Source organism: Homo sapiens, chromosome 10, assembly GCF_000001405.40.
Source record: "Homo sapiens chromosome 10, GRCh38.p14 Primary Assembly".
Taxonomy (NCBI): domain Eukaryota; kingdom Metazoa; phylum Chordata; class Mammalia; order Primates; family Hominidae; genus Homo; species Homo sapiens.
The window spans coordinates 100,188,277-100,208,905 of NC_000010.11; the positions used below are offsets into that span (position 1 = coordinate 100,188,277).

Sequence of the window (20,629 nt, forward strand, 5' to 3'; positions counted from 1 at the left end):
TTCCACTTCATGGAACCTTCATATTTTCCTAAGCCATATTCAACTGTTTTATTATAATCTGATTTTTATAATGAATAGAGATCAAGAAAGTAATTTAAAAACCATTTAATACACAAAGTGAAAAACTATTAGAATATAAAAGCATTTCACATTTTTTAAGACAAATAATATCTTCTAAATTACTTAGCAGATGATAGAGGTCCACAGTCCTTTCTCTGAAACCCTTGGGGCAAGTTGTTTCAGAATTATGAAATTTTAGATTTTAGAAAAGTAGTTTTGTGCATATACCATACTACATTAACCAGCCCTCACCACAGTCTGTGGCAGCAGCCCTCCCTCTCATCATCAAGCAGCAAAATAAAGGAATATTCACACTAAATGGGATAAAAAGATTCAAGGTCAGTTCAGATTAGATTGCAAGCAAATGAATTTTGTCACCAAGCTTATGGAAACCTTGTTTTCAGAGCTTTTTGGATTTTGGAATTACAATTACAGATAAAGGAGTGCAGACCTTTATAAATTTGTATGACAAGACATGAAAGATTGTTTAAACAAATGACTCATTTTTACAAATGAAAAAACATGTAATTTTCAAATACATTATAAATTAACAGGCATCTTCTCTTTGATATTATTAAATGTACATCTTAAATACATATACACACAACAACATGATTTATGAAAGCCAACTAATATTAGAAGCACAGATACACAATCCCTTCGATGAGAAGGGGATACTGTTAAATTTTCAGTGGAATTTAAAATGATTACACCAACTCCTTATGATGCCAGGAAGAGAACCTGTTCAGTGCAACACAAGGAGGTAGAATTTATTCTTCAAGAAATAGAACTTGTGAGCAGCCTTTTTAGAAAAAAACACAGGTAGACTTTTACTTAAAATGCCTATTACTTGAGGTTTTCTTCTCTGTATACAAAACTACATTTGGTCTTACGCCCAAAAGTTAAAAGTTGACACTAATACATAGAAGGTATTTTTAATCAGTTAAATAAGTAATGTTTTACCAAGACTGAAGGCAAATGTGTCGTGATGATGCTTCTAAATAGCTGTGGTATTAAAACAAATATTCAAACAAGTACATTGACTTTTTCTAAATTCCTGTCTGTTTAGAGGCTTGAATTACTCAAAACTGTTATACTTGTAAAATCATGTTCTTCTGATCATAGTAGAAATGTAGTTTCTGTTCATAGCCATTTCTTCCATTGACTGATGTCTGAAGAATGGTTTCATGGGGGAAAAACACATTTCCAACATGTATAGCAACAACTTCCATAGGTTTGGGGACAGTGAACAAGTGACAACTCATTCTGTTAACCAACTCCAATCAAGATTCTAAAACCAGGCATGAAAAAGTTACAATTAGATGTTGACTATAAGTTATAAGTATATGGGTGTTCATTTTTGCAAGTTTTCTGTTTGGACATTTCATAATCAAAAGTTGAAAAATCATTTCATTTACCTTATTTCCTGATTTAAAAAAATTTCAGAGTTTTTTTCATAAATATTTGAAGTAAACAATTATTCTTTCCTTTTCTTTTCTTTTTTTTTTTTTTCTTAAGAGAGCAGGATCTTGCTATGTTGCCAAGCTGGAGTACAGTGGCTATTCACAAGTCCAATCATAATGCACTGCAGCCTTGAACTCCTGGGCTCATGCAATCCTTCTGCCTCAGCCTCCCTAGTAACTCGGACTACAGGTACATGTCATATGGCTGGCCACCATTATCCTTTTTTTTTTTTTTTTTCCCCGAGACAAAGTCTCACTCTGTCACAGGCTGGAGTGCAATGGCAGGATTACGGCTCACTGCAGCCTGAAACTCTTGAACTCAAGCGATCTTCCTGCCTCAGCCTCCCAAGTAGCTGGGACCACAGGTGTGTGCCACCACACCTGGCCAATTTTTATATTTTTTATAAAGACAGGGTTTCCCATGTTGGCCAGGCTAGTCTCAAACTCCTGGGCTCAAGCAATCCACCTGCCTTGGCCTCCCAAAGTGCTAGGATTACAGGCGTGAGCCACCATGCCTGGCCACTGCTATTTTTCTTAATGAAAGAGGAAATGTACAGAATTGACATTAAGACTAAATGCAGGAAAAATTGATTCAGTAGACATTTTATGGTAATTTCCTCAAGTTTTAACAAATCAGTAGTTTATAGTAACCAAATCTTAACACACACTTATTATTACAACTATATTAACATAATTTATTTTCTATTCGGGAGGTACCATATCTGAATTAAAGTACAAGTCCCATCTTAATGGAGAAAATTGATTGCTGAAGCAAAAAGGTACAGAACAAACCATTCAATTTCAATGGTCACATTGTGAAGAAGCTTACCACTCATTTAATTTGACCAAAAATGCTATTATTGAAGATAATTGATGACATAATCCTAGTATATCCCTGAGTAACGGCAGATAAGGATTTAAGGTTGAGGATATTCCCCAAATGCTCTTTCCTCTTGAGTTCTTCTATTTCCCATATGCATCCCAAATGCCAGATAAGGCTAGCATGGAAAGTTAAACCTTTTGCACCCAACATAGCCAAAGCAGGCACCCATATCCACACAAAACTTACCATCATACTATTGCCCTGTTCCTCATTTGCCTCATGAATAATAGTGCTTAAATGGCCAAGGCAGTTCAAATTTTCTTCTATCATTTGTGCTGAAGTCTCCCTGTGAGATGAAAGAACAAAGCCTTTTCAAACTCAGGAAAAGGGCATATGAATTTCCTCTACTTTCTAGTCTTCTAGGTTAGCAAGATCACTAGCCTTCCTGTAACCCAGTACCCCAGTGCAGTTGACTCCTGTAGTCTTTAGTTTCCTCATCCCTCCCTACAGAGGCAGAGTCCTGTTAAGACCAGGCTGCTGCCTCTACCTCTACCTAACTAATGATAAGAAGTCCACTATAACTCCAGTCTGACTTTCCTCTGAAATGTAAGATGCACTTATGTACAACTTGTTTTTCCCGTGAAAATGTAACTAGGGAGGAAAAAATCCTTGTGGCAAAGACAGATGAAATACGTTTTTGTTTCTAAATACTTCTCTTTCCTTAAAAGTAGTAAAAACACCAGCATGCATACTTCACAGACACAAATGTAGGGGAGAAGAGAGAAAAGTAAAATCTGTTCTGTAGAGATCACAGAAAGTGAAAAACTCATTAGAAACTACAGATGATAGCAATGAAACGAAACAAGCAAGCTGATTCCTGAGGACAGCAAAAGAAAACAGTGTGGTGGGGGAGCTACCCAGAACCAAGAAGTATCCCTGGAAGTTCATATTTGAAGGCAGTCCTGATTGTGGTTTCTACCTTCATGCTTTCCTCTTCTATATGGCCTCTAGCTTCTCCCTTTGCCAATCTTCAGTCCCCTAACAAGAGTCCGTTTTAGGTCATGGATGATAGCCACTATTAGCTTAGAATGACATTCTGATTCAGCTCTTATCCAACAGATGGAAAAATTATGGTCAAACAGTTCCCAATCCTTGGTAGTTAAGTACCACAGGTACATTATAATTGAAATCAATTTTCTTATACAATGTATTCTGGCTGGACATGGTGGCTCATGCCTGTAATTCCAGCACTTTTGGAGGCCGAGGCAGGTGGATTACTTGAGGTCAGGAGTTCGAGACCAGCCTGGCCAACATGGTGAAACTCCGTCTTTACTAAAATACAAAAATTAGCCAGGTATGGTGGCACGCACCTGAAATCCCAGCTACTCGGGAAGCTGAAGCAGGAGAACTGCTTGAATCTGGGAGGCGGAGGTTGCAATGAGCCAAGACTGTGCCACTGCACTCCAGCCTGGGCGACAGAATGAGACTCCGTCTCAAAACAAAATATAATGTGTTCCTTCTAGAAAATACATTGAAAATGTCTGTCAGATATACTTTTGCAAGCAACTACACTTCAAATTGGAAATTACCTGTATTGTGGTGACATTTGTAAACATTAACATCCGCTAAAAAACTTAAATGCCTTTAATAAAGGCAAAAAAGTAAGTAAAGTATTAAATTTTACTTCCTTCAACTCTGATTACTGGAGTATTTTGTAAAGTCTATATATTTAATTATAGCCTGTGCTACAGTTGTAGGTGTACTGCATTGGGCCACATGTATAATGACCCCAAGATATATACCCTGGAACTTGCTTTCTTTAAAAAAATAAAATACCTGATATCAGCTTGCCTTCCTGCCATGTGCTTTTCTCTCATAAAAGTAGAGTACAGAATGTGCAACTGCATGACCTCCTGAGCAGTGATGTAACATGGCTGCACTTCTGCAAAACTAATTATGGGCAGAGCTTCCAGGAAATGCTGGTGCTGTAGAGGTCTCCATGAGTTGTGAGAAAAGCGACAATACACAAGCTAGCAAAGAGCCACTGGCTTTGGATACGGCACATCTTAAGCTGAGAAAATAACAGAAATGGATAGTCATTCAGCTTTTAGCAAAAGAGTAGGAATTAATAAAATATAGGGCTTGGAATCTGAGTTCTTGCAAAACTGATTTAAAACACTGAAAAAAGTCTAATCTTAGAAATACAAAGTTATAAAATAGATCTCAAAAATTTATTAGAAGGGTAATCAAGGATCCCCAAAATGATAAATGCAAAATGATAGCATAATTTCTCATAAACTGTTAATGAAGGAGTAAGGTTTGAGTAAAAGAAAGTAATAAGCCAATAAAAGAAAGGACTTAGAACTTGGACTTAGCTAATAATAAGCAACATTTGAGCTAATAATACGCAACATTTGCTGAACATTTATTTCCCAAGCACTTTATATACATTGTCTAATCAAATTTCCACAGCAGTTCTATGAGACATTCCTGTTTTACAGGTGAGGAAATATGAACATCAAAAAAGTCAAGTAAGTTGCCTAAGATTATTACAAAGGGATAGTCAGGACTCAACCCTGGTCTGAAGGCACAGAAGACTACCTTAACAACTACTGCCTCATTCCTATACCACTGCTATGAAAACACAGCTATCTATTGTTACAAAGTAAACCCACCCATCTTGAGGAGTTACCACACATGACAGAGAATGATCATGTTCTGCTGAAGTCGGGGGCAGCCATGCTGATGTCTGAGGGGTTACTGCACCTTCTAGACTGGATCCTACAAGGGACCGGGCAGAACTCTGTGTCTGAAGGAAAAGAAAAAAACATCAAAAGATTACAGGCAAGCATCTCTGTTGATTCACACAATTTCTTATCATATTCCTAAGACTTACATTTCCGTTACTACTTATATGCACAACCAGAGTATTTCAGTACAAAACTATTCCCACCTTTACACACCATTAGTAACCTGTCCTTGGACCCTTTCTTCATTGACTAAAACCAAATATATCCACTCATCTTATACCATTTTAGTTGAAGAAAGAAAAAAAAAACCCAGTTGAATAGATGGTCAATTTCATTATCTAGGCAGGTACATCTATCCCCAAGTTAGGTTGGAATACCACAGTAGTCAAGGGCTAAGAGGAGTATAACAACAGAGAAATTGGAAAGGAGAGATGATAATAAGTCCTGCATCTCAATTGCTAGTCTGGACACCAAGCAAGGAACATGGATGTCATCCCAATGCAAAATATACATGTCTTCAAGAGGGCCCACCTCATGCTGATAAAAATCCCCTTTGCAAGGAATAATAGCAACTCAATGTCACATTAAATAATTCATTAATAATTACTTACACAGGCAATTTTAAGGAGATGCCATATTTCTTTCTGCCTTTTTCCCTGCATGAACATGACAGTATTGTCAGCTTCTTTGATATTACTGAGGGCCACTTCCACCTTAGGGAGTAGATCAATAATCTTCTGCTTACAGCCCAACAACTTGCTGGAGAGATTAAATCAGTGTCAGACACTTTCACATGCCCCAAGACTGTACACCATATTCCCAAAACCCAGCTGAGGAAATGAACCACAATCAGCATCAGATTTAATGACTTATCTCCAAAGTAATGCATACAAAAGGACACATAAATGCAGATAGCTATGGCCAAGCTACCCAAGGTACCTTCAGAATTCTTCCTGGGTAAGTATACTTTACCAAAGAGGGCTTTTGTACTTTGAGAGGAACAAGATAAACGTATCCTGGTTTTTCAGTAGGAAATGAAGCAATTTTCCTACCTCAAATGACCAAACAGCTCCTTGAGCACACGGTCCTGACTCTGCACAGTGTGCACAATGATTTTCACCATCTCTGTGCTGTCACTGTAGGAGTGATCTATAAAAGACATCAGTCAGTGGATATAACCTTTCTTCTGTAACATATCAGCCTCCAAACAAAAAATTCCTCAAAAATCCCTGAAACTCTGAAACTAATTTTAATTAATAAACATCTCCATTTAAATTAAAAATTGGGTTAAGATAAAAGATATAAAGATTACCTATAAATAAAATCTAGTTATATATAAAAAATAAAGTTTGCAGGTGTATAATGTATATATAAATTTATCAGTAAGAGACCTTAGTTGCCTGTGCTTGAGAACAATAGTCTTGGCTATCTTTAACCCATACTAACCCAAGCCCTAGACACAAATGCAGCCTCTGGCCAAGGGAACAATTTTTCTTGGATGATTAACCACATATTTAGAAACAGTAGGACAATTCATCAAACTTTCATTACCTAAAGGAAGGAGGCCCTTGAACTAGGTTGCTTGGAATTTCATGTTTATCCGTCTGTTTACAACCCAGAAAAACTTTGAAAAAAGCTCATTGAAACCAACTAGTAAAGGGACCTGTAGACATCCTGAAAGTTCCATTTGAGGGCAGTATGACATCTTAAAGCCAACTGGCAGCAGCCAGATACCCTCAAATGGGATGGCTGTTGGTCACAATGGGTTCTACAGTTTAAAATGTGACCTCGATTTTAAAAAAAAATCATTAATTGTTATATTTCAGAAAATGGCTAAAGGAGTTGAAAGTTGCTTATGCATCATGCTGGTATATTCTTTGGACAATAATTAAGCCTAAATGCAATAATAATAATATTTGCTACTCTCTGCTTATAATTTTCCCATTTAATCCTCACAGCAGTCATGTGAGAAGACTACTTTTGTTACCCCCATTTTACCAAAAAGGAAATGATGAGCATCAAAGGAGGTTTAAAAAACGTTGTGTCCTTTGTTATCTATCACTCCAAATACTTCCCCCATAGCCCAACTTTATTCCCCACACATCTCTGTTGTCTCCTCCTCACCAACAATCAAATGCAAGGCTCCAAAAAGGTTCTTCTCCAAACAGCATTCCTTCCTAAATACCATGGACCAAGCCAAGAGCTTTCTCATATAACTAGCTCCTTAAGACAGTGAAAGCCCTCAGAACTTTAGCCTTCTCCAGGATAATGAAGAAAGCTGGTTTTAACCATTTCAGATGAACAAGAGATTCAAGTCAACTCTAAGCTAGAAAAGACAATAGAGGCCACAAATCAAGTGTGATTATATAATAGGCCCCAATGACAGACACAATCTTGTTACAGTTTGTCACTCAAGGTGACACTCAAAGAAGCTACCTGGGTAGCAGTTTATTTCTGAGCTTCATGGTATGTTGACAGGGCTGCCTCAAAGTTTTAAAAAATATAACCTAAACAAATGCTATCACTGTGTATCTGTGGTATCTGATTCATTAGCCAGAAAACTGGGAGTCAGAATTTTTTTTTTGAAATGGAGTCTAGCTCTGTCACCCAGGCTAGAGTGCAGTGGCACAGTCTTGGTTCACTGCAACCTCTGCCTCCCTGGTTCAAGCAATTCTCCTGCCTCAGCCTCCAAAGTGGCTGGGATTACAGGCATGTGCCACGACGCCTGGCCCAGAAATATTGATTAAAGAAAAAGAATTGGACTTGCTCTATTTGAAATCTTAGATTTTAATATTTTACTCTAGCTACAACTTCTATCACTTAAATCACTATTTGTTAACATCTTCAACCTTTTTATCCTCTTATTCCATCAGCAAAATCCTAACCTTGGATTAATCCAACCATCTGCTCTATCAGTTCCTGTATCCAAGCTACTAAATTATCAACAAAAAATTAATATTACTGTTCACTATTTGTCACTGCTAATTCACAGGTTTTTCATTTCTGCTCTGGGTTTTTTTTTTTTTTTTTTTTAAGAAAGTCTTGCTCTGTCAACCCAGGCTGAAGTGCAGTAGTGTAATCTTGGCTCACTGCAGCCTCGACCTCCTGGGCCTCAAGCGATCCTGCTACTTCAGCCTCCTGAGTAGCTGGGACTACAGGCATACACTACCACACCCAGCTTTTTAAAAATTTTATTGATTTATTTTTTTGTAGAGACAGGGTCTCACTATGTTGCCCAGACTGGTCTCAAACTGTTGGCCTCAAACGATCCTCCTGTCTCAGCCTCCCAAAGCGCTAGTATCACAGGTATGAGCCACCTGGCCTGGATTCTTAATGAATGTTTTGGGTCAACAACATCTTCCACTGCACACAGTGGCTTTTAGAAGTCTTTAGCACTCTATTCAAATCTATGAGGTCGTCACCTCTTCCATTTCAGTTAACCTCACTTACCACTGCAGGATAAGAGGCCATAAGGCAGTAAGACCCTGATCTTCCAACCTCTACTCCCAAAAAAGTATCTGTATCCACACTCATTCTCTTTCCAATATCAATAGTATCAAGGCTAATCCCTCCTACTGTTCTTTGGAGCCAATCTCTCAACTTGTTCAGGGACCTCCCTCTCCACAGGCTTTTTTGGCCCTGAGCATATGTTCTGAGAAGTGCATCATTGGGCACTTTCGTCACTGTGTGAATACTTATACAAACCCTGATGGTACAGCCTGCTATACACTTAAGCTGTATGGTATAGCCTTTTGACAATAGGCTACATACCTGTTCAGCAAGTGACTGTACTGAATACTGTAGGCAACTGTAACACAATGGTAAGTATTTGTGCATGTAAACATAGAAAATACATAGTAAAAATACAGTAGTATAATCTTATGGGACTACCATAGTATACACAATTTGTTGTTAACCAAAACATCATCATGTGGCACCTCATGTTTAAGTCTTCCTTCTGAGAAGTGACCTCCCTTGACTCTACATCAACTTTTAGCTACTCACCCACCTCTCTTCTTTCCTGAGCAGCCAAGCTTCTGAGAATAGTCTAGATAAGCAGTTCTCAAACTTTTTGGTCTCAGGACCCCTTTACACTAGAAAATTCTTGAGAACCCCAAAGGGTTTTTCAGGAATTAAACAGAAATTTAAAAATACTCGTGTCTTAATTCATTTAAAAATAACAAACCTATTGCCCATTAACATGTTTTTATTAAAAACAAACAAAAAAACCTATATTTACGTTTTCTCTCTCTCCTATATTTAGGTTTTCTCTCTCCTGAAACTCTACACTCCAGTCATACTGCATTTCCTCAGACATGCTAAGTGCTATACATACATGTGTCTACACAGTATACTCATATCTACGAGAGCCACCTCCTTTCACTGGTTACTGCTACTTGAGATACTTGGAAGCCTGAAGTGGAAGGATCACTTGAACCCAGGGAGTCCAAGGCCAGCCTGGTCAACATAGCAAGAGCCCACCTCTAAAAACAAAAACCAAAAAACGATATTTTCTAAAACAAAAAAATTTGAGTGAGAACACTTGCACTGTTTTACATTTTTGCAAACCTTTCTGATATCACCACTAATCTCATCAGAAAAGTTTTTAAGTACTGAGAAGCTGTCATTCCAGCTGGTAAATACAAGTTTTCTAAAATTCTTTTTGCTTGAAACATGGAATTTTATCATTGACAACAAATACTGCTTTTTTCCCTTAAAGTAATAAGTGTGCTATACTTTTTATTTTCATTTAATTTCTTAGAAATTATCTCACGTATGCAAATCTGAATAATCATAGTTTGCCTGACAGTTGCTCTTCCAAGTAAAAATGGTATCTTCCCTGAAAGAGGCCAGACAACTAGCAACGTAAACAATTACTGAAGTGGTTTTCCTTAAGACAACCATCATACTTCACTGTATAGAAGAAACACTTTATGAGTACTTCCCATTTCATCACACAAAATATTAAAAACCCATACTCAAGCGTTGAGATTTAAATAAAATAATATTTTTACTGCTTTATCAAGGACATTTGTAAGTGAAACTGTCATTTTTTAAAAACTGTGACTGCATGGTGGTAAAAAATATAACGGCTACTAGCATAGTTTGGCGCTAGTGCCTTGATTCATACTAAGGTGAAAGCCATTTTATGTTGCACCATCAATGAAAATGTCAACATGGTGAAAAATGCAAATAACATCTTATTATGAAAATGGTTCTAACCTCACAGACTCTCTGACAAAGTTTCAAGGATTCTCACAGGTCCATATGCCACATTTTGAGAACTGCTGGTCAGACTAAACTGAATACATTTCAGTAAAATAAAAGCAGTATAAGAGGAGATAATGTTATTTTTTAAATGTGAAAATAGTATATGAAATACAATTTCACATGTATATTAATTTGCATGTGTTGCTATGTGTCTACAAATTTTAAAGTGTAAAAGTATATCTTTTTTTAACATGCATTTAAGTATAATGCACATTAGGGCACAGACTTTATTTCTTCTGTTACCCTTCAAAACAAATTTTTAACTAAATGATAATATCTTGCAAGTACATAATAGTTTATAGTTTTCAAAGCATTTTCACAAACATCCTCTTAAATACACTGTCACAATATACTCACTGAGTAGGAAAGCTAGGTTTCAACCCCATTTTGCAGAAGAAGGAAATGGGAAACGCAGATTTGCCTGAGGTAACGGTCAGTAAATTACTCAATCTAGAATTCAAGCCTCTGATTCCCCATCCAGTACTCTTTCCAGCAGACCTTGCTCAGTATTTAGCAGATGTTCAACTGGAATTATTTTGCCAACAAAACAAGTCATCAGTGACCAGTGCAGATGAAGGCATTATTTTCAAAGCAATCTGCTTTGGCCTAGAACAGCACAGGCCTTCCCTCTAACCATTCCATACCTGAACCCACTGCCTCAAATTCTTTCCAACCTCTATAATATTTTTTTGTTTTGTTTTGAGACAGAATCTCGCTCTGTCACCCAGGCTGGAGTGCAGTGGTGTGATCTTGGCTCACTGCAACCTCCTCTTCCCAGGTTCAAGCGATTCTCCTGCCTCATCCTCCCAAGTAGCTGGGATTACAGGCACATGCCAACATGCCCAGCTAACTTTTCTATTTTTAGTAGAGATGGGGTTTCACCATGTTGGCCAAGCTGGTTTTGAACTCCTGACCTCAGGTGATCCACCCACCTTGGCCTCCCAAAGTGCTGGGATTACAGGCATGAGCCACCACAACTGGCCCAACCTCTCTAATCTTAAGCAACACTTATTTTTTCCATCTTTCTAAACATTTTCTTGCTGCTTTTTCCTCTCTGAGTTCCTTTTTTCTGTCTTCCATTCTTTCTTTTCACGTCCCCTTCTAAAATTTTTCTACCTCACGTTCTCTGTTACTTTCTCTTTATCATCTCCTAAATTCTCACAATCTTAAAGCTTATTATACCATGTCTCAATGGCAATACCAAAACTGGAATTTATTCTGCAGCTTTAAGAAAATTTTTAACTTAAAAATATTAGATCCCCCACATTTGTTAGGCTAGTGATAGTTACCTAAAATGCCTTCAAGCACTGTGGTAGAAGTGTCTTACCTGAAGGTCTGTGTTTTAACTGCTTATATAGATCAATGGCACGCTGTTCCCTATAAAAGAGAAAACACGCTCTGATAAGTGAAGGTAATTTAATGACTTCAATAATCTACAACTTGAAACAATATTTTATTTGAATAATGAACCCATTTTAAAGCAAGTTCATATTGCCAACAAGTATTTCACAGAGCATTGTATTGAGTAATAAGAACTATACAAGTTCTTAAAATGCAAAGTTTAATATAGTTCATATCTATTCTGATCTATCATGGGGACATCTCTGCACCACAGACACTTAAAAAGACAAAAATTATGACCTATAATTCGAGAAAATATCTGAAGTTTTTAATCCAGAACTTTAATTCAGAAAAAATTTCAAGTTTTAGGGCATTTAAGAGTCAATACCTTGGACCAGAGGTATAATGAGTAGGGAAATAGTTTGTAACTTAGTTATACTTGGAAAATTCTTAACACTCCTATGAAATAAATGCTTTTATTAAAAACCAAAAAAGGCCAACCCAAAGAATTATTTCCGAAGTTTCCTGTGACTGAGAAAAAGCTTCCATTTTAAATATAATGCCAATATATTTGGGGAAAGGAAAACTATAGAAAAGAACCACTAGAGGTTTAATTTGCCAGATGTAAGCAGAAAGAATACAAAATATTACAGATGTCAAGACCAACAACACAAGTGCATCCTTACAGAGATTCCATCAAGTCTCCCTGACGTCTTCCATAGGGGCTCTTCTGTAGCTCCATGATTTCAGCATGCAAAGACATAATCTGATCCTCCAGGTATCCAATGACACCAACCTAAAATATGATGAAAATACAAAGGAAATGAAAGGCTTACCACTACATCATAGGAAACAAAATTCAGATCTTAAGGATACAGAATGACTTGCTGCTTCATTAGAGAACTAAATAATATAATACGAAACACTGATTTTGTTAAAGCCTTTCTATTCTTCAGATTCTGACACTTAATCTTTCACATAAGAACATACTTAGTCTTAGTCTTCTCTCTTTTCTCTCCTGACAACAGTAAACTACTAGTATTTGCTTTTACCTCCGGAGAAGCAAAAAGCTACAACAGGTATCAACTAACAAGAAAGAAAAAGGACCACCAAAACCATTGGTATTACTTGTATCTTGGCTCTATGATTTTGACTGCCCCCTGGTCCCCACTACCTTGAATAGGGACACAAAAAGATAAAGAACTTGGATTTCCCACCCCAGGACACCATGGGTATCCCCACCCACATCCTCAGGGTAAGTACTGACATTAAGGAGTGTAATAACTTAGGACCGTGGACAAATGTACAGGATAAGGGGAAAAAATCTGCCACCTAGAGAATGAGCTATACCTAGGGACACCATATAATTTATTGTCCAAACCGGCATAATTTTGAGAGTGAAAGGGACTACTACTGATAATTATGGCAAGACATTAAGTATAAACTGGGACAGTCCCAGGTAAACCAGGATGTGCAGCCATCCTATCTAAACCAGTCACAAAAATAATAGTGACAACTACCATTACTGACTCCCATTTAATCTTCATAACCCTACTAGAAAAGAAATTGTCCCTATAATATGGAAACTAGCTGGATGTGGTGGCTCATGCCTATAATCCCAGCTCTATGGGAGGCTGAGGTGGGAGGATTGCTTAAGCCCAGGAGTTTGATACAAGCCTGGACAACATAGTGAGACCCCGTCTCTACAAAAAATGTAAAAGTTAGCCAGGCATGGTGGTGCACCTCTTGTCCCAGCTACACAGGAGGCTAAGATGGGAGGACTGCTTGAGCCTGGGAAGTCGAGGCTGCAGTGAGCTTTGATCATGCCACTACACTCCAACCTGGGCAACAGAGTGAGACCCTGTTTCAAAAAATAAATAAATAAAGGAAACTGAAGCTCAGTGAGGCACTAGGTAATTTTCCCAAAGCCCTTGTTTTTAATCACTATGATACATCCCTCTTTATATACAAAGCATCTACTAGAATTTTGTCTGAATTTCAGGAATGACATGAAAAATGCTCTTTATATATCAAAACCAAAGATAGTTTCTAATGGAGACATCAAGAATTAATAAGTATACAGAATGACGTCAATGATTTTACCTCAGCATAGTGGATGGCCTTTTCTTCCATTTCTTTCCATGCTTTTAGCATTTTTTCTGAAGCTAAAAGAAAAGTCTAAATTGGTTATCTCAGAAATAGCCATATCTTTAATTACTGGCTGCCTGCCTCCTTGCCATATCAACATCAAAGATGTGTTATGAGTTGAATTGTGGTCCCCCAAAAGATATGTGGAATTCCTAACCCCTAATACCTCAGAATGTGACCTATTTGGAAATAAGGTCATTACAGAAGTAATCAGATAAATTAATACTCATACTGGAATGGTCTGGGCCCTTAGTCCAGTACGACCAGTGTACTTAGAAGAGACACAGGATACAGATACACAGGGGAGAATGCTCTGTGACAATGGAGACAGATTGAGGTGCTGCAGCTGTAAGCCAAGGAATGCCAATGATGGCTAGCAGACCATAAGAAGCTAGAGAGAAACAAGGAAAGATTCTTCTCTACAGATTTCAGAGAAAACATGGCCCTGCCAACACCTCAATTTTGGACTTTTAGCCTCCAGGGCTGTGAGACAGTAAGTTTCCATTGCTTAAGCCACTCAGTTTATGGGATTTTGTTATGGAACCCTTAGGAAATGAATACAGATGACTTTTTTCTTAAAAATATATATATTTATACCAGTGTGCAGATGGGTGGATAAAGGAAAAAACAACAAAAAAAATTTTTTTTTGAGGTAGAGTCTCACTCTGTCACCCAGGCTGGAGTGCAGTGGCATGATCTCAGCTCACCGCAACCTCTATCTCCAGGGCTCAAGCGATCCTCCCACCTTAGCCTCCTGAATAGCTGAGGTGTGCACCACCATGCCCGGCTAATTTTTACATTTTTTGTAGAGATGGCGTTCTACCCCATGTTGCCCAGGTTAGTCTTGAATTCCTGAGCTCAAGGGATCCACCTGCTTTGGCCTCCCAAAGTGTTGGGATTACAGGCGTGAGTCACCACCTGGCCAGAAAAGAAATTTAATACTTGAATATGATTTTTAAAAATTAAATACTATAAAAGGATATAAACAGAAAAGACTCTCTCTTCTACCCCTCTACCATCCACCTCAAGGGACCTTACTATGATTATCTGTTACATAGACACATAGCCTGCTCCCTCACAAGTGAAAACATCTGTATACTCTTTATTTTTTCCCACAATTTAAAACTGTCAACTAAAGACTTAGGTGATCTTTTAATAAAAGCACATATAGATCTACCTCATTTTTCTTTAACAATTGTATAATAAGCCTTTGACAAGTCTAAGATATTTTAATGAAATAATTATAATGTTTTATCACTCACCAGAATGTCAATAATATACAAATAGAAATAAAATATCAATAATATATAAATAGAAATAAAATATCAATAATATTAATAAAACCAGTTCTGGAGAGTAAATTCATTCACCCAACTGGACACTATTGATTGTTTACTCTGAGATACACAGAGTTTGCTCAGGACAAGTATATGTTTTTAGGAAACAAGTATTTGTTTCCTAAAAAGGATTTGTTTTATAAAAGAAAACAGAAATGCTGGTAGTATGACTCCTTCAATTTACTCATATTTTAACTCTGTTTTTTTACACTTCCTTAGTACATCTGAAGGAGATAAGCTTGGAGTCAAATATGGAAAATTTGGAGACTGTGTACACTAAAAAATAGTAGGACTCCACAGTAGATGGTTTGAAAAAAACATAGCCTTAGAATATTTGTGTCATTATTTACAGAAAAGTAAGCAGTTTAAGACTCCCCTGGTTGTCTTAGTCCATTTGGACTACTATAACAAAATACCATAGACTAAGTGCCATAAAAACAACAGAAATTTATTTCTTATAGTTCTGGAGGCTGGGAAGTCCAAGAACAAGGCAGATTTGAGGGCCTGCTTTCTGGTTCCTAGATGACCATCTTCTTGCTCTGTCCTCACATGCAGAAGGGATGAGGGATCTCATTCAGGTCTCTTTTGTAAGAGCATTAATCCCAAACAGGAAGGCTCTACTCTCATGACCTAATCACTTCCCAAAGGCTCCACCTACCAACACCTTCACCTTCAGGGTCAGAATTTCAACATATGTATTTTGGGGGGGATACATTCAGTCCACAGCACTGGCTAAGAAGTCCAGATTTTGTATTTATTTTAAAATCAGGTTTGAAATTCAAGATTATTAAATCGCACCTGTATTTTTTTAGAGCTAAATAATTTTAGCCCAATTGTGAAGCTAAATTGCTCAACTAAGCAAATTTAAAAAAAGAGGTAACATTCAAAACAAACATGGTTTATGTTAATTTAAGTTGTCCTGTCTCTTGTTCTAATGTGAAGGTAAGTAAAACAACTGGCTGAGTTAAGAAGGCAAAATAACAGATGGCTTCAAGAAACCAGATGCTCCTTTCAAATACATTACACAGACACTTACATATCCCATACGTCATCTGCTCGCTGTATCTCTCCAAGTCAAGCTGAATGCTTTTGTGAAAAAACTCCAATTTAGCTTTCAGTTGTTGTGATGCTGAGATCAAAGTGTTCTTCATTTTTGTTAAGTTAGCATTATATCTAAGAAGACTTAACCTAAACCACAGCAAGAAAAAAAAGAAAAAGAAAAAAGATATTATCAGCATTCAGAAACATTGAACAATAATGTAAAAACATAAACTGCCACAAGGCCAAAGCCTAAGTTTCTATTATCAATCTATGAGAAATAACTGAGCTCTAGAATCTGATCTCTAAAGACTTCCTGCCTATAATATTTTGTGATAAACAATCTTTTTATACTAGGACCGTATGGGAATTATTACCCTCAAGCCATTACAATAGAATGGTCTCAGTCCATTAGTAAGAATTCTACAAGTTTATCAGAACATTACACTTCAAATTGGCCCAGTATGTTACTATTACATGCAATATTGATTAGTGAAAACCGGCAAGATTAATTCTTGAGTATATGATGCACATTGCATTGTGCTTATAAACAACAGAATCCACTTACATTGCTGCCCTTTGTCCCTGAAAGAGCCTGCTATAGTCTTCTTTTAGTCCAGACACATAGTGCACTGCTTCAGCCCACACTTTACGCAGCTGTATAATTGGAAGCTGTATTTTGCTGTCCTGTACTATATACAAGAAGATGAGAAAAAGGGCAAGGGAGGTTAGTTACTTTTGAGGATTTTAGAGTTGATTTATCATTCTTTGTGATTTCCTGTCCACACAAACAGGATTCCCATAGATGCTAGAAACTGATGCTAAAAGAACCACTTGTTTCCATTTAATTCAGTTCAATATACATTTACAGAGCACCTGCAATACTTAAGCCCCGCTCCACATACAAGGGGGGAAATAAAAATGACACAATCGCTACACTCACAGAGCTTGAGATTATTCCTGTATCTGTCTTTTTTGCTTGCTTTTCTGCAACCTGGAATACTCTTTTTCTCTCTGCTAATCCAAATTATTTCTTTCAAGTTCTAAATCAAGTCCCATCTCCTCTGAGTCTTTCCTACCTCTGAATAATAAATTTCATATTCTGGACCAACAATCCAGGTTTAAGAATACACACAAGAGCCAGGTGTGATGGCTCACGCCTGTAATCCCAGCACTTTGGGAAGCCAAGGCGGGCAGATCCCTTGAGGTCAGGAGTTCAAGAGCAGCCTGGCCAACACGGTGAAACCCTGTCTCTACTAAAAATGCAAAAATTAGCTGGGCGTGGTGGTGTGCACCTATAATCCCAGCTACTCGGGAGACTGAGACAGGAGAATCGCTTGTACCCGGGAGGTGGGGGTTGCAGTGAGCCAAGATTGTGCCATTGCACTCCAGCCTGGGCGACAAGAGTGAAACTCCATCTCAAAAACAAAACAAAAACAAAAACAAAAAGACAAATTTCAGCAGAGGGACATCTTACAAAATACTTGACTAGTATTCCTCAGGTCATTGTCAAGGTCATCAAAAACAAGGACTATTTGAAGTCTGACAAAATGTCACAGCAAAGAGGAGCTAAAGAGACATGACAACCAAATGTAATGTGTTCTAAGATGAGATCTTAGAACAGAAAAAGGATATTAGGTAAAAATGAAGGAAATGTGAATAAAGTATGGGCTTCAATTAATAATAAATGGGTTCATTAAATGTAACAAATACATCATACTAATGTAAAATAGATTTTTTTTTACTTTTTAATATTTTTAAATATTTTATGTTTTTTATTTATTTTTTTGAGAAAGGTCTCACTCTGTTGCCCAGGCTGAAGTGCAGTGGTGTGACATTGGCTCACTGCAACCTCCGCCTCCCAGGTAAAATGTTAACAATAGGAAAAACTACATGCGTGAGTGAGGGGAGTTATATGAGAACTCTGTACTATCTGCCCAATTTTTTGGCAAATCTAAAACCATTCTTAAAAAAAAAAAGTCCATTAGTAAAATAGTAATAAAGTCTGGGGCAAGGGGAGTTGACTGAAAAGAGACATGAGGGAACTTTCTAAGGTGAAAGAAATGTTCTACATGATGACTGTGGTGTGGATTACACAAGTATCTAAATTTGTCAAAAGTTATCAAACTATATGATCTGTGAATTTCACTCTATGTAAACTGCCTCAATTTAAAAGAAAAATTCAAAAGAAAACTAATAAAAAGACTTTTAAAAAAGTAAGATTACATACATTTTAGCCCCTCTGCTCAATTTTGTTCTTGATTTTACAATTTTGTGCTTTACTTTATTTGGACAGATATACAGTGATCAAACACTTAACTTGTTCAAAAGAAAAGAATAATTTTCACAGGATAAATTAAAACATTTGAACATCAAGCAGTATTCACAGGAAAAATGAAATAAATACTTGAACATGCTTAGACTATGAAGAGACAATTAAAAAGCAGGTTCAACTAATAGTGAAGTTTCATTCTCCTGTGAGAGCCCTATCCTCAAGAAAGTAAATCTTCTCTTGAATGATCTCATGGAGATTTAATATCTACCTTTTCACCTTCCAAACTATATAAATCCATTTTTCAGAGTTCTCATATAACTCCATATAGAAACTTCAAGTATGAGATACAGAACACAACACCAAAAGTCCATTTCTACTAATCATACTGAGAGTCAAAGTTATATTAATTCATGTTTAAAGCTCAGCCACTAAATGGACTGGACTTACCAATATAATTTACACAATCAGATAAACTTCTGGAAGCAAATGGCCCTTCATATACAGTTTTACTTTTATCAAACAAATAAACCATATAGCTATCACAGCCTCTCTGAAAAAGAAACAAACAGTTAAAATCCTGTTCAAGGATCTTTGAAAATCCTAGGTTTTCTAAATACTTATGCACCAGATTTCCTACTTTGAAATGCAAATGAACAAAATCAATGTGTATTACCATATCTCTTACAGATAACAGAGTCCAAACTTTTGTTGAGGAAAAAAGACCCAAACTTTTGTATGGGCTAAAGTGAACAATCACCAAAACCCAAAGAACAAATGCAAAAAGATATATACAGTGAAAAAACTAATCGGTAATCAAAACGAATGAAGTACTGATACATGCTACAACATGCACGGGCTTCAAAAATACAAGGCAAGTAAAAAAAGTCAGACACAAGACTATATATTACATAATTCCATTTATATGGAATGTTCAGAAAAGGCAAACTTGTGGAGATAAAAAATAGATTCCTGGTTTCCTGGGGTGGACAGAATGGAGATTAACAGTTAATGGACTGTTAATGGAAATGTTTTTAAGCTGATTTATGGTGACAGCTGCAAAATTTGGTAAATTTACTTTAAAAAAAAATCACTGTAATTGAGCATCAAGTCAGTGACAAGTTAATAAAAAAGAAATAAAAAATCACTATATTGTACACCTTAAATGGGAACTAACATGATAATATGCCTCAATAAAGTCATAAAAAGAAAAATGGGGGAAAAAGTCATGACCACAGTCATATTTTACCACCCATTTATCCTTTGGCAGGACCTATGAGACTGCTGTTCTCACAGTAGTTTCAGAGTACTGGGCTTCAAATACAAAAAGAAATTTTTTTTTTTGAGACAGGGTCTTGCTCTGTCACCCATGCTGGAGTGCAGCGGCGTGATCATGGCTCATTGCAGCCTCAACCTCCCTGGGCTCAAGTGATTCTCCCACCTCAATCTCCCAAGTAGCTAGGACTACAGGGGTGCACCACCAAACCCCGCTAATTTTTGTAGTTTTTGTAGAGACAGGGCTTCAACATGTTGCTCAGGCAGGTCTCGAACTCTTGAACTCAGCAATCCACCCACCTTGGGTTCCCAAAGTCCCGGGATTACAGGCATGGGCCACTGCACCAAGCCAAGAAGGAATATTAACTGGGAGTGTGGCAGGCCAGGTCTCACTAATGCAGGCCTAAATAACAACTGTTTCAGCACGACTGAGTGGTGAAGTTAAATATTAAAAGCTGAAAGAGTGGCCGGGTGCAGTGGCTCACGCCTGTAATCCCAACACTTCAGGAGGCCGAGGTAGGCAGATCGCCTGAGGTCGGTCAGGAGTGGCAAAACCCCGTCTCTACTAAAGATACAAAAAATTAGCTAGGCATGGTGGTGGGCACCTATAATCCCAGCTACTTGGGAGGCTGTGGCAGGGAGAATCACTTGAACCCAGGAGGCGGAGGTTGCAGTGAGCTGAGATTGTGCCATTGCACTTCAGCCTGGGCAACAGAGCAAGACTGTCTAAAAAAAAAAAAAACTGGAAGAGCCAGTGCCCTTACACAAAGGCTGAAATGTAGCCAAAGCCTACCAAGAGTTCTGCCCAGGCCTTTCCCAGGCCTAAAAGCAAAATAACAAAGGAATTCTTA

At 37.4% G+C, this 20,629-nt stretch overlaps 1 protein-coding gene across 17 annotated transcripts in view; it reads right to left on the reverse strand.

The window, feature by feature from the left end:
• CHUK (component of inhibitor of nuclear factor kappa B kinase complex) overlaps positions 1-20,629 on the reverse strand; it is a 43,278-nt gene that overhangs the window by 1,958 nt on the left and 20,691 nt on the right. For 3 of the 17 annotated variants that reach the window (NM_001441065.1, NM_001441066.1, NM_001278.5), the window contains 11 exons: positions 18,954-19,056; positions 16,800-16,923; positions 16,230-16,381; positions 13,812-13,873; positions 12,395-12,504; positions 11,695-11,744; positions 6,149-6,245; positions 5,708-5,855; positions 5,022-5,155; positions 2,593-2,692; positions 24-1,351 (listed from right to left, as the gene is read on the reverse strand). In NM_001441065.1, the coding sequence (NP_001427994.1) occupies positions 1,322-1,351; positions 2,593-2,692; positions 5,022-5,155; positions 5,708-5,855; positions 6,149-6,245; positions 11,695-11,744; positions 12,395-12,504; positions 13,812-13,873; positions 16,230-16,381; positions 16,800-16,923; positions 18,954-19,056 (1,110 nt within the window). In that variant the 3' untranslated portion in view covers positions 24-1,321. The other 14 variants (NR_199798.1, NR_199803.1, NR_199796.1 and 11 more) reach the window with 14 other exon arrangements.